This window comes from Homo sapiens, chromosome 1, assembly GCF_000001405.40.
Source record: "Homo sapiens chromosome 1, GRCh38.p14 Primary Assembly".
Classification (NCBI taxonomy): Eukaryota; Metazoa; Chordata; class Mammalia; order Primates; family Hominidae; genus Homo; species Homo sapiens.
This window is the reverse complement of record NC_000001.11, coordinates 201,520,606-201,535,006: the sequence shown is the minus strand read 5'-3', so window position 1 is coordinate 201,535,006 and position 14,401 is coordinate 201,520,606. Positions and strand designations below refer to the sequence as shown.

The following is a 14,401-nucleotide window of genomic DNA, read 5'->3' as shown; positions in this document are numbered from 1 at the left end:
ATTTAATCTCCACAACAACCCTATGAAATCTGTACCACTTTTTATCTCCACTTTACAGGTAAAGAAATTGAGGTCAAGTGTCTTGTCTGGGTCTCAGCTAGTAAGTGATAGAGGTAGGATTTGAACTGAAGGAGTCTGGCTCCTGAGTCCATGTTTTCAAATACTACATATATGCAGAGGAAAGGAGTCTTGATAGTCTCCATAGCAGTGTGGAGAGCTTGATCATGTACTAGTTCAGCACATTTCTTTATTTCTTTTCAACAGCTTTATTGAGGTACAATTTACATATTATAAAATTCACCCACTCGAAATATACAACTCTAAATCTACAGAGTTCTGCAGCCATGACCAGAACCAAGTTTTAGAACATTTCCACCACCCCAAAAAGCTACCTTGTTCCCCATGCATGTTTTAAACTGAGTCTCAATTTTCTCAACTGTAAAATGGGAATAACAGTGCCTGCCTCATACGGTTGTTATGAGCATTAAATCAACATGTAAATGGCATAAGGTAATGGTCAACAAATGTTATCTATTATTATTACAGTCTCTTAGAGTCACTTAAATACAGACTTTTAGAGCTGGAAGTGGGAATGGTCTTAAAGACAATCTAATCAAACTCTCTCCTTTAACAGATAAAGAGATAACAGTGCCAAGATGTTAAGCAACTTGCCAATTAAGGACACAGTAAATTTAGTGGCAGAGCTGGGAATGAAACCCGGGTTTCTTGGTTGGTACTTCAGTCCTCTCTTATCTCCTGAGAGACTTTCCACTCGAGGCACAGGAATATCATTGTCCAATACCCCCTTCACCCCCCATCTTTGCCATCTTTGTGGGTGCCTCCAGAGCAATGCTGACTGGCAGGCATGGACCCTGGGACTTTGCTTGTGCTGGAATACATAGAGCTCTGGCTTTGGAGCAGGGAATGTGGCTGAGGAATGTTGGGTGCAGAATCAGGGGACCAGATCCAATGTGGAGGCTGAGACAGGAATGTCCATTGTCAGAACACGGAATGCATTAACTAAAAGAATCCAGGACACAGCCAGTCCAACGGTCAGCTAGTCTCTGCAGAGCCAGCTTCATGGGCATATGACCTGTGCAGTCACACGGGGGCTCAAGCTTAGAAAGGCCCCCTGCTTGGTTTAATGCTTTGTTGTTGCCATCTTGAAATTCACAATGATTTTTAACAAGAAATGTCACATTTTTATTTTGCACTGGATCTTGTAAATTATGTAGCTGGTTTTGCCCATGTGATAGCAGAGCTGCAGCCAGACTCTTAAGGCCCTAGCAAGGAATAGTGTCTCTCCACCCAGAACTTACTCACATGTAAACTCTATGTATAATACACAGTCATAGAGTCTTAATACCGAGCATTAGAAGAATCAAAGCCTGGGCAACATATGGAGAACCTGTCTCTACAAAAAATTTTATTAAAATATTAGCCAGACATGGTGGCACATGCCTGTTGTCTCAACTACTCAGGAGGCTGAGATAGGAGGATGGCTTGAGCCTGGGAGGTGGAGGGCGCAGTGAGCCATGATTGTGCCATTGCACTCCAGCCTGGGCAACAAAGTGAGACCCTGTCTGAAAACAAACAGAGAATAAAAGTTGTGAAACAATTTGCACATTATGATCCAATTTATGATGAAAGATGCCCCATTAAAGTATATCTTTCTATATGTACATATGCTTGTATGAAAGTATATTTTTTTAAGGTCTGGAAAAACACTTCAAACTGGCAGTCATCAAGGGAGTCATTAACTTTTTCTGTGTGTTTGAGTTTGTTTTTTACAAGGAGAATCTATTCATGTATTACATACATAATTATTAAAAAAGTGTAAGATACTCCTAATACATTCTGTAAGCATTTTCCTATATCAATAAATAGTCAGTAAATAGTCTTAAAATGCCAAGAAAAGGTGTCTTGAGAGGGGAAAGCAGAAGTAGGTGTCAAGAGGGACCCTGGAGAGTGGTAGACAGGGGCAAAGACTATTTCAGGCCATGACAGGGCCTGAGGGGAACAGGCTTGGATGTGAGGAAGGGAATACCGGGTGGGGGAACCCAGAGGTAGCTGGTGAGAGGGTGGGTGCTAGGTGTCAGCTCCGTTCAGATTTAGAGGCTGCGATGTCCACTTTGGTGAGGGTAGGGGAGGATGATAGGAGCTGGAAAAGGATGAATTGCCAAATACGACTGGAGGTAAAGGCTGTAGAGGTGAATCCAGCTGTGGTGAGAAATGGATGAGGTGGAGGTAGGCAGGTGATTCCCTGCAAGGGAGAAAGAATGGGGCTCAGATGTTGGATTTAACAGAGAATGGGAGATTTGAGGCAGTGTGGCCCAGTGGTCAGAGTGCAAGCTTTGGAGTCAGGACGGCAATCAAATCCCAGATTCACTGCATCCTAACTGTGTAACCTTGAATTCTCCTCTGGGAAACAGAAATGATCTTGATAATAGCTATGCAGTAGGGTTGCTGGGAAGATTTGATAAGATGATGGAGGTAAAGCATTGCATCCAGTGGCTGGCACAGACCCCCAAATCTTCCCCTTTTCTCTTTAATTGATTTTGTGGTTTGAGGCTCTTAAATGGCAAGAAATCATTTGCATGAATAAAGAGCCATTCTTCCAAGCACTTCCCTCCTAGTTTTCTGGGAGAGCCACTGGAAGCCAGGATTCAGAGTTCCATCCTGCAAAAGCTGAGCTGAGCTAGCCAGGAAGGAGGAGGAGCTGACTGTGGCCCAAGGGCTGGGAAGCAAGGCAGAAGGGGAGAATCCAGCCCTAATTCCCACGCTGCTGGTGCCAGTGAGGCTGACTGTGGGAAAACCTTGTCAGGGGTCACACTTTGGGATCTCTAGGAGCAAGGTGCTCTGTGAATGCTTATCTCAGATTCTCTCCACCCCTGGCCCTTTCAGTGCCCCCAGCCCAACTCCGGGGAGAGTATGAGTGACTGACAGGCCCTGCTGCAGCTGCAGCCTCCTCACTGTGGGTACAGATGTGCTCAGCAGCAGCTGTGACACGGAGCCCACACCTGTTCCCTAGATCAGCTGCTGTAACTGTACTCCTGGGAAAGCAGGCCAGGTGCTCAGGCCTTGCCAAAGCCAGGTCAGAAAGCAGGTGGAAAGTCGGGCATCTGCCTGTCATAGCAGCGGTGGAGGCTGCCTGGAAGGTCATGAGGCCCTGGGAGTCTCAGCTACAGACTGGGCTCCTCTTCCAGCCCACGCTTGTCCCCAGCTGTACGCCTCCCACAGGCCCTCTGTGGTTTCCTGACCCCCTCCCTGGGCACCACCACATTGGGGTGGGAGAGACTGAGGAGCTAGGAAGGAGGCGGGGAGTCTTGAATGGGATGCCTCTGGCCATCTGTTATTCTGGGCCTGTAAGCTGTAAAGTCAGGGGACTTGTCCTGGGAGGTGGGGGTGCCCTGGAGCTGAGCAGCAACAAGGACCGGAGGAGTCAAAGAGAACTGAGGCAGGGAGAGGCCAAGGATGAGGGTGCGTCTGGAAATGAGAGCAGGAGAGCCTCTTGCGTGGCTTTGGCTGTGGAGACCTTCGTTCCGGAGACTCTGGGCTGCCACGGGAGAATTCCACTAAGCATGTGTCGGGGGCAGGCCCGGGCAGGCGGCCGTGGGAGCGCTGCACACACTCTGCTCCAGGCCTTGGCCAGCTAAAGTGCCGCTCTGGGAGAGCCTGGATACCGGGTGAATCCAGAAATCCCAGGTCCCTGGGAAAATTTCAACAAGGCAACTCTGACACGCGTCCTCTGACACCCAGACCGACACAATATATTGCTCACGCCAATACACATAAAAACCTCCCGATAGAAAACCAGATGGTGAGTTGGCATTGCTGATGTCTGGATTCTACACCCACACCCCACATAGTGCTTATAAAGAACACACCCTCCACTCATCCAGCCCACCCCACTTTCAGGGAGAGGAATCTTGAGCCTGCGATGCTCATAATGATGCTAACGCCTCAATGGAACGGTGCTCGCCAATTTCCCCAGTATCTCTGACAGTGCCGTGCCAGAAGAAACAGCACATGTGGCAAGCAGCTCCCGGCCAGATGTGGGACACTGCTGACCCCTGCTGGCGCTTTTCTCTCCACGCCAACCAGGGAGAGCCCCAGGGAGAATGCAGTATTGGAAAAACCTTGCAATCTGTCTGGGAGGGGTAGGAAGAAATACCCCAGCTCAGAATCTCCTCATCTGGAGTGCCTTTGACGAGACTAAGATGAAATTACAGTAAACCCAGACTGAGTTTCTGGGAGGAGTGAGACAGACTAATAGTATGTCCCCCTTCAGCCTTTGTGGCCTGGAAAACCCTGCTGCCAATCCCCTTGAAACTAAATTGGGAAACCATTAGCAACACTCCTTTAGCCAAGCTCAACCTTTAGGAGGAAAAAAAAAAGTAAGAAAGAAAGAAAAAGAAAAGAAAAGAAAAGAAAAAAAACACCATCCACAAGTAGCCCAAGATTTTCCAGTTACAATCAACCCCTTCCTTACCCACCCCCTGTCCTGCCCCAACGCCTTGCAGAGTCTTTGTGAAGTTTTAGCTTAATTTATTGTGGGTTTAATATTCCCCTTAGACTAAGATGTAATCATCATGGGTTTAATACTTTTCTTTCCATGAGAGACAGTAGCACTGTGCTCTTTGAAAAATCTTTACTAAGACCAGGTGTGGTGGCTCACGACTGTAATCCCAGCACTTTGGGAGGCCTAGGTGGGTGGATCATCTGAGGTCAGGAGTTCGAGACCAGCCTGGCCAACATGGCGAAATCCCGGCTCTACTAAAAGTACAAAAATTAGTCGGGTGTGGTGGTGGGTGCTTGTAATCCCAGTTACCTGGGAGGCTGAGGCAGGAGAATTGCTTGAACCCGGGAGACAGAGGTTGCAGTGAGCCGAGATCGTGCCACTTCACTCCAGCCTAGGTGACAAGAGTGAAACATAAAAAAAAAAAAAAATCACTTTGTACCCACAGAGACGAAGTTCAAGTCTTCCAGAATCTCTACTGGAATAGTCATAGCGACCAAAGGAGGACCAGGACTCTGATAATTCCAACAGAATTAGTATGGAAGCCCCACAGCACAGAGAAGTGTTTCCATTATTAAAACTCTTTTCTCTGTCTGGGCATGGTGGCTTGACCCTGTAATCCCAGCACTTTGGGAAGCCAAGACGGGCAGATTGCTTGCATCCAGTAGTTCGAGACCAGCCTTGGCAAGGTGACAAAACCCCATCTCTATAAGAAATACAAAATAATTAGTTCATGTCTGTGGTTCCAGCTATCCGGGAGGCTGAGGTGGGAGGATCACCTGAGCCCAGGAGGCGGAGGTTGCAGTGAGTCGAGACTGCACTACTGCACTGCACTCCAGCCTGGGCAACAGAGTGAGACCCTGTCTCAAACAACAACAACAACAACAACAACAACAACACAACCCTTTCTCTCCTTTGCACCCTACTCTAGACCCAGAGCTCTTTTTCACTTTGTTGTTAAACTCCATGAATTGTGTGTAGACCCCCTATCACTCTACAACCCATCACCATTAGGCCTCCACTCTGAACACTCCTACAAAGGCAATCATGGGCCTCTTAATAGCTAATCTAATGTACATATTCCAGTTCTCATTTTACTTGCCCTCTATAGCATCTGACATTTTAACGTCTATTCATTCATTATTTATTTTAAAATTTATTATGAACTATTTTAGGCCTGCAAAAGGTATACAGAATAATATAACAAACATATCTGTTCCATTAGTCAGGGTTCTCCAGAAAAGCAGAATCAATAGAATGTACACTATAGATAGACAGGGAGGGGATGGAGGGGGAAAGAGAGGCGGGAGGGAGAGGGAGAAATAGAGAGAGGGAGAGAGAAAGAGATTTATTATAAGGAATTGGCTCATGCAATTGTAGAAACTGACAAGTCCCAAGATCTGCAGGGTGAGTCAGCAAGCTGGAGACCTAGGAGAGTCTATAGCATGTTAGTTCCAGTCCAAAGTCTGAAGGCCTTAGAAACAGGAGGGCTGATGATGTAGTTCCCATCCAAAAGCCAGCAAGTTCAAGACCCAGGAAGAACCAGTGTTTCAGTTCAAGTCTGAAGGCAGGAAAAAGCCAATGTCCCAGTTTGAAGGCAGTTAGGCAAGAGGAATTCGCTTTTACTTAGGGGAGAGTCAGCCTTTCTCGTTCTATTTAGGCCATCAACTGATTGGATAAGGCCCACCTATATTAGAGAGGGCAATTTGCTTTACTCATTCTACTGATTTAAATGTTAATCTCAACCAAAAACACCCTCACAGAAACATCCAGAATAATATTTTACCAAATATCTGGGCATCTTTTGGCCCAGACAAGTTGACACATAAAATTTAACCATCACATCTGTAAATGCCCTGAGTTTAAGAAATAAAGCATTACGGCCGGGTGCGGTGGCTCATGCCTATAATCCCAGCACTTTGGGAGGCCAAGGCGGGCAGATCATGAGGTCAGGAGATCGAGACCATCCTGGCTAACACGGTGAAACCCCATCTCTACTAAAAATACAAAAAATTAACCAGGCGTTGTGGCAGGCACCTGTAGTCCCAGCTACTCCAGAGGCTGAGGCAGGAGAATGCCATGAACCTGGGAGGTGGAGCTTGCCGTGAGCTGAGATCGTGCCACTGCACTCCATCCAGCCTGGGCGACAGAGCGAGACTCCGTCTCAAAAAAAAAAAAAAAGAAATAAAGCATTACAAATATAGTTTAAGCTCCTCCTCTATTGCATTCCTTTCTCTCCCCCCAGAGGAAACGTTATTCTGAACTTGGAGTTAATTATTCCCATGCATATGTTTTTTTTTTACTATATTATACACTCTATATGCATTGCATTTTAACTATATGAATAACATCATGCTGTGTATATTCTTCTACAATTTTCTTTTTTGACTCAACAAATTTGTAAAGTTCATCCATGTTAATGCATATAGCTTTAGTTTACTCATTTTCACTGCTGTATAATATTCCATTGTACAACTACATTCTAATTTATTTATTTTATTTTATTTTTCTTTGAGATAGAATTTCACTCTGTTGCCCAGGCTGGAGTGCAATGGCGTAATCTCGGCTCACTGCAACCCTGCCTTCCGGTTTCAAGCGATTCTCCTGCCTCAGCCTCCCAAGTAGCTGGGATTACAGGTGCCCACCACCACGCCTGGCTAATTTTTGTATATTTAGTAGAGATGGGATTTCACCTTGTTGGCCAGGCTGGTTAGAACTCCTGACCTTGTGATCTGCCTGCTTCAGCCTCCCAAAGTGCTGGGATTACAGGCATGAGCCATTGCACCTGGCCTATTTATTTTATTGTTTCTAATTTTTTTGCGATTACAAACCGTGCTGCTATGGAAATTCTTGTAAAGATCTTATTGTGTACATTTGTGTTTCTCCAGTAGTCTACCCAGGAGTGAAACTGATGGCCGCAGAGCCTGGACACTTTAACTTTACCATATTCATCCTAACACTGGTATTGTCAGACCCTTTTTTTGGACAACCAGATGGATGTGAAATTGTAGATTATCATGATTTTAATTTGTATTTCACCAACTATTAATAGGATTGAGCATCTTTTCATAAGTTTGTTCAGATTAGAATTGCCTTCTATTCCTATTTCCTAATCTTTTTCCAATTATATTGTTGGTTATTTTCTCTTGGATATATAATAATTCTATAGTGTGGCCAATTGCCCTTTTTCTGTTACATGTTTTTCTCTTATCCTTTCCAAACTGGTGGCTTCTGTCTCAGCACCTTTTTAATAGCTTTATTAAGGTATAATTAACATAGCCTAAAATTCACCCATGGTAAAGGTATGATTCAATGATTTTTAGTAAATTTAAAGAGTCGTGTAACTATTACCACAGCCTAGTTTTAGAACATTTATAACATCCCAAAGCAATTCTTCCTACCCATTTGTAATCAATCTCACCCTCAGCCACAGGCAACCACTAATGTGCTTTCTATCTCTATAGATTTTTCTTTTCTAGATATTTAATATAAATGAAATAATCTAATTTATGGTCTTTTGCATCTGGCTCTTTTCACTTAGAATTTTTTTTTTTTTTTTTTTTTTTTTGAGACAGAGTCTCGCTCTGTCGCCTAGGCTGGAGTGCAGTGGTGTGATCTGGGCTCACTGCAAGCTCTGCCTCCCGGGTTCACGCCATTCTCCTGCCTCAGCCTCCTGAGTAGCTGGTACTACAGGCGCCCGCCACCATGCCCAGCTAATTTTTTGTATCTTCAGTACAGACGGGGTTTCACCTTGTTAGCCAGGATGGTCTTGATCTCCTGACCTCATGATCTGCCCACCTCAGCCTCCCAAAGTGCTGGGATTACAGGCATGAGCCACTGCGCCTGGCCTTTGAATTATGTTTTTAAGGTTCATTTCGGTATAGCTATAGTAGTTTTTTTTTCTTTTTATTGCTGAGTAGTATTTCATTGTATGAATACAGCACATTTTGTTTATTTACCAGTTAATGGATTTTTGGCTTAATGATCTCTGATGAGAAATAACTCTCACATTTATATTTTACCCCCTGCATGTAATGTGTCTTTTCCCCCTATGGCTGCTTTTAAGATTTTCTCTTTAGTTTTGGTTTTCAGCAATTTTACTCTGATGTACCAAGTGTGATTTTTTTTCTTTTTTCGTTTTTTTTTTTTTTGAGACAGAGTCTCACTCAGTCGCCCAGGCTGGAGTGCAATGGTGTGATTTCGGCTCACTGAAACCTCTGCCTCCTGGGTTCAAATGATTCTCCTGCCTTAGCCTCCCCAGTAACTGAGATTACAGGCACCCACCACCACTCCTGGTTAATTTTTGTATTTTTAGTAGAGACAGGGTTTCACCATGTTGGCCATGCTAGTCTCAAACTCCTGACCTCAGGTGATCTGCCCACTTCAGCCTCCCAAAGTGCTGGGATTACAGGTGTGAGCCACCACGTCCAGCTCTGGCTAATTTTATATTTTTAGTAGAGACTGGGTTTCACCAAATTGTCCAGGCTGGTTTTGAATTCCTGACCTCAAATGAGCTGCCTGCCTTGGTCTCCCAAAGTGCTGGGATTACAGGCATAAGCCACTGCGCCTGGCCCCAAGTATGATTTTTAAAAAGTTTATCCTGCTTGGGGTTAGTTGAACTTTTTGGACCTGTGGATTGTTATTTTTCATCAACTTTTAAGCCACTGTTTCTTTAAATATTTTTCTGCCTTATTGTTTTTTTCCTTATGGAACTCTAATTGCATGTATGTTAGACTGCTTACTATTATCCCACAATTTGCTAATGCTCTGTTCATTTTTTTCAACCATTTTTTCCTCTCTCCACTTCAATTTAGATAATTTTTATTAGCTTATATTCAATTCACTTATTTTTTTCTTCTGCAGTGTCTAATTTGCTGTTAAGCTCATCCAGTAAGTCTTCATACACTGTATTTTTCAATTTTGTAATTTCCCTTTAGTTCGTTCTTGAATTTCCATTTCTTTTGAAATACCTTATCTCTTTACCTATTGTGTGTTTTTTTTTCCTTTAAAATTTTCAGCATACTTATAATTGTTGTTTTAAAGCCTTTGTCTGCTGATTCTCATAACTAGATCACCTGATGGTCTTGTTGTCTTGTGATTATGAGTCATAGTTTTCTACTTCTTCATATGTCACACAAAATTTGTATTCTGTACCCTGTGTGTGAAATAGCAGTAGAGGTTAGCAGTAGAGATTTAAGTATAATTTTTGTGTTTTGTTTCCATTTTTCAGGGAGTGGAAGCTTTTCCTTCTGTTTGGTGGTTAAAGTGCATAAACATAGGATTATTACATCCTCTTGATGAAATGACCTCTAATCATTATGAAATGTCCTTCTTTATCTCTGGTAATATTCTTTGCTCTGAAAACAACTCTTGTTGTTATTGTTTCATTTCATTTTTGTTTTTTGAGACAGGGTCTCACTCTGTCACCTAGGCTGGAGTGCAGTGGCATGACCACGGCTCACTGCAACCTCTGCCTCCTGGGCTCAGGTGATCCTCCCATCTCAGCCTCCCAAGTAGCTGGGACTATAGGCCTGCACCACCACACCTGGCTAATTTTTTGTATTCTTTGTAGAGACAGGCTTTCACCATATTGCCCAGACTGGTCTGAAATCAACTTTGTCTGGTGTTAATACAGCAACTCCAATCTTCTTTTGACTAATGTTAGCATAGTATATTCTTCCTATCCTTTTAAAGATTTTATATTTAAAGTTCATTTCTTGTAGATAGCAAATAATTGAGTCTTACTTTAAAAAAAAATCCATCTAATAGTCTCTGCCTTTAAAATGAAGTGTTTAGGCCATTTAGATTTAATGTGATTATTGATGTGGTTGGATTTGAGTCTATCACTTTGCTGTTTATTTATTTATTTTTTAATTTTTTTGAGACAGAGTCTCACTCTGTCACCCAGGCTGGAGTGCAGTGGCGCAGTCTTGGCCCACTGCAACCTCTGCCTCCCAGGTTCAAGAGATTCTTCTGCCTCAGCCTCCAGAGTAGCTGAGATTACAGGTGCGTGCAACCACACTAGGCTAATTTTTTTATTTTTAGTAGAGACAGGGTTTCACCATGTTGGCCAGGCTGGTCTCAAACTCCTGACCGCAAATGATCCGCCCACCTTGGCCTCCCAAAGTGCTGGGATTACAGGCTTGAGTCACCACACCTGGCTCCATTGTTTATTTTCTATTTGTCCCATCTGTTCTTTGTTCAATTTTTTCTCTTTTTCTGCTTTAGATTAATTGAGTATTTTCACAATTCCATTTATCTCCTTTGCTGGTTTATTAGCTATAACTCTTTGTTTTGTTATTTCGGTGGTTGCTTTAGGATTCATACTATTTATCTTTAGCTTACCCAAATCTACCTTCAAGTGATATTATACCATTTCATGCATAGTATAAGAACCTTGCAATAATGTGCTTCCATTTGTCTCCTCCTGACCTTTATACTATTATAACCATGCATTTACTTTTCCAAATGTTATAAACCCTGAAATACATTCTTATTATTTTTGTTTAAATAGTCAACTATCTTTTTAAAAGTATTAAATAATTTTCTTCTTTCCTTTTTTTTTTTTTTTTTTTGAGACGGAATCTTTCTCTGTTGCCCAGGCTGGAGTGCAGTGGTGCTATCTCGGCTCACTGAAACCTCCACCTCCCGGGTTCAAGCGATTCTCCTGCTTCAGCCTCCCTAATAGCTGGGATTACAGGCGCCCGCCACCACACCTGGCTAATTTTTGTATTTTTAGTAGAGACGGGGTTTCGCCATGTTGGCCAGGCTGGTCCTGAACTCCTGACCTCAAGTGATCTGCCCGCCTTGGCCTCCGAATGTGCTGGGATTACAGGCATGAGCCACTGCACCCAGCCAGTTTTAAATAATTTTTTTAAAATCGTATTTTTTAACCATGTAGCTACCATTTCTTCTACTCTTTATTTCTAAAAGATATTTTTTCTAGATATAGAATTCTTTGTTGACAATTTTTTAAAAGAAATTAAAAATGTTACTCTGCTGTCTTCTTGCTTGTATTGTTTCCAATGAAAAATAAGACATCATCTTTATCTCTGTTCCTTCTTTTTACTTCCGCCTTAAGGACTTACTTTAAACATTTCTTATATTGGGGTCTGCTTGTTGTGAATTATTTCCCCTTTCACATGTCTGAACATGTCTTTATTTCACTTTTAATTTTTAAAACAACTTTATTAATATACACTTTACATACCAAACAAGTCACCTATTGAAAATATACAACTCAGCTGGGCACAGTGGCTCGTGCCTGTAATCCTAGCACTTTGCGGGGCTGAGACAGGTGAATTGCTTGAGCCCAGAAGTTCGAGACCAGTCTGGGCAATGTAATGAGACCTTTTTTTTTTTTTTTTGAGATGGAGTTTTGCTCTTCTTGCCCAGGCTGGAGTGCCATGGCGCAGTCTTGGTTCACTGCAACCTCTGCCTCCCAGGTTCAAGTGATTCTCCTGTCTCAGCCTCCCAAGTAGCTGGGATTACAGGCACCTGCCACCATGGCTGGCTAATTTTTGTATTTTTAGTAGAGATGGGGTTTCACCATTTTGGCCAGGCTGGATGAGACCTCATTTCTACAAAAAATCCAAAAAAATGAGGTGGGAGGATTGCTTGAGCCCAGGAGGTTGAGGCTTCAATAAGCTGAGATCGCGCCACTGCACTCCGACCTGGGTGACAGAGTGAGACCTGCCCTGCCCCACCCCCACAGAAAAGAAAATGTACAACTCAATGATTTAAAAAAACTACTTAATTGGGATATAACTGACATGCGAAAAGCTGTACATATTTAGTATATACAACTTAATGAATTTCAATAGTTTTTAGTATATTCACACAGTTCTGTAACTATCACCACAGTCTAATTTTAGAACATTTATCACCCCAGAAAGAAACCTGGTACCCATTACAAGTCACTCTCCACTCTTCTGTGCCCCCACCCCAGCCCTAACAACTGCTAACTTACTTTCTGACCCTGTAGAAAGAAACCGCTAATTTATTATACTTTCTGATCTCTCCAGACTCAGCTCCTTCTCAATTCAGGAAATCTCTGAGCTTTGCTTAGGTTCCTTCTGCTGCGCCACAGCTTGGAAGCTCTTTCACATGGAAAGCTGGGACAATCAGAGGGCGCCTCATTTGTTTCTCATCTCTCATAGACCACTCTCCTTTATTGCCTATTTCCAGTGTCCTGAAAACTGTTGTTTGATATATTTTGCCCTCTGTTGTTGTTTTAAGCAGGAAGATACCTGTTACTCCATCTTTGCCAGAGGCAGATGTCCATTAAAATGAAAGTCCCACAGGGCCGGGGGCGCAGTGCCTCACGCCTGTAATCCCAGCACCTTGGGAGGCCAATGGGGGCAGATCACTTGAGGTCAGGAATTGGAGACCAGCCTGGCCAACATGGCAAAACCCTGTCTCTACTAAAAATACAAACATTAGCTGGGCATGGTGGCACTCACCTGTAATCCCAGCTACTCAGGAGGCTGAGGTGGAAGAATCGCTGGAACCCAGTGGGTGGAGGTTGCAGTGAGCCAAGATCACACCACTGCACTCCAGACTGGGCATCAGAACAAGGCACTGTCAAAAAAAAAAAAAAGAAAAAAAGAGAAGAAAAGAAAAGAGAGAAAGGAAGGAAGGAAGGAAAGAAGGAAAAAAAGAGCCACATTAAACAAACCTGACTGAGAACACACAGGTCTCCAGATACTACATTTGTGGAACATCAGTTTAAGAAATTTTATACAATAATAAAAAGGCAAATAATTTAAAAATAGGTAAAGTCGAGGCATAGTAATCCCAGGACTTTGGGAAGCTGAGGTAGGAGAATTGCTTGAAGCCAGCAGTTTGAGAGCAGCCTAGGCAACATATTGAGATCCCGTCTCTACAAAAAATTCAAAAATTAGTTGGGCATAGGGGCACACACCTGTAGTTCTAGCTACTCGGAAGGCTGAGGTGGGAGGATTGCTTGAGTCCAGAAGTTACAAGTTACAGTGAGCTATGATCACACCGCTGCACTCTCTCCTGGATGGCAGAGCGAGACCCTGTCTCTTAAAAAAAAAAAAAAAAAAAAAGGAAAGAAAGAAAAATAGGTAAAAAGGGGCACATGTTCTCAAGATCTCCTGAGGGCTGCGTCATGAGAAAAAAATTAAATATAAAATAAGTAAAAGATTTAAATAGCTGGGCGCGGTGGCTTACGCCTGTAATCCCAGCACTTTGGGAGGCCGAGGCAGGCAGATCACGAGGTCAGGAGTTCAAGACCAGCCTGGCCAAAATGGTGAAACCCTATCTCTACTAATAATACAAAAATTAGCGGGTGTGGTGGTGTGTGTCTATAGTCCCAGCTACTTGGGAGGCTGAGGCAGGAGAATCACTTGAACCCGGGAGGCAGAGGTTGTGGTGAGCCGAGATCGCGCCATCCCACTCCAGCCTGGGCAACAAGAATGAAACTCCATCTCAAAAAAAAATAAAAAACAAAAAAACAAAAAAACTGATTGAGGAGAGCAAAGATCACCTGGTGACCATCAAGCTGACCATCCAGAGGCAACATTTCTTATCTGAGGAATTTAGAAGTAATTAGATGTCCCTATTATTCTAAAGCAAGCATCTGGTACCAGGCTTTTAAAAAATTTTTTAAGTAACTAGGATTTCTGTACATCTCCTGAATAAATGCATGTTGAAACTCGTTGTGCAGCCCTTGCTGACATTAAGGCACCAAAATATCTACAAATGTAATCACGTATCATGACCTATGTGGCTAATATGGTCCACATTACTCCTAAGCTCCTGCTTTAAGGTCCATAAATACCCCTAAGGAAAAGTCTGCCGTGGCGCACTTACTTTTCTCATGCTGAGGCACCTCACTGCACTCTTCTGCAGCTTTCT

At 43.2% G+C, this 14,401-nt stretch overlaps 2 long non-coding RNA genes across 3 annotated transcripts in view; one reads left to right on the top strand and one right to left on the bottom strand.

The window, feature by feature from the left end:
• LOC124904484 (uncharacterized) overlaps nt 1–14,401 on the top strand; it is a 30,422-nt gene that overhangs the window by 5,139 nt on the left and 10,882 nt on the right. The window lies entirely within an intron of this gene.
• Nucleotides 223–14,401, bottom strand: part of CSRP1-AS1 (CSRP1 antisense RNA 1) — a 27,572-nt gene continuing 13,393 nt past the window's right edge. The window contains exons 2-3 of one of the 2 annotated variants that reach the window (NR_160748.1): nt 4,832–4,913; nt 3,426–3,709 (exon numbers count right to left, since the gene is read on the bottom strand). This is a non-coding gene — a long non-coding RNA (CSRP1 antisense RNA 1). Of the gene's footprint in view, nt 1,584–3,425; nt 3,710–4,831; nt 4,914–14,401 lie in introns of those variants that run through there. The other variant, NR_160747.1, reaches the window with a different exon arrangement.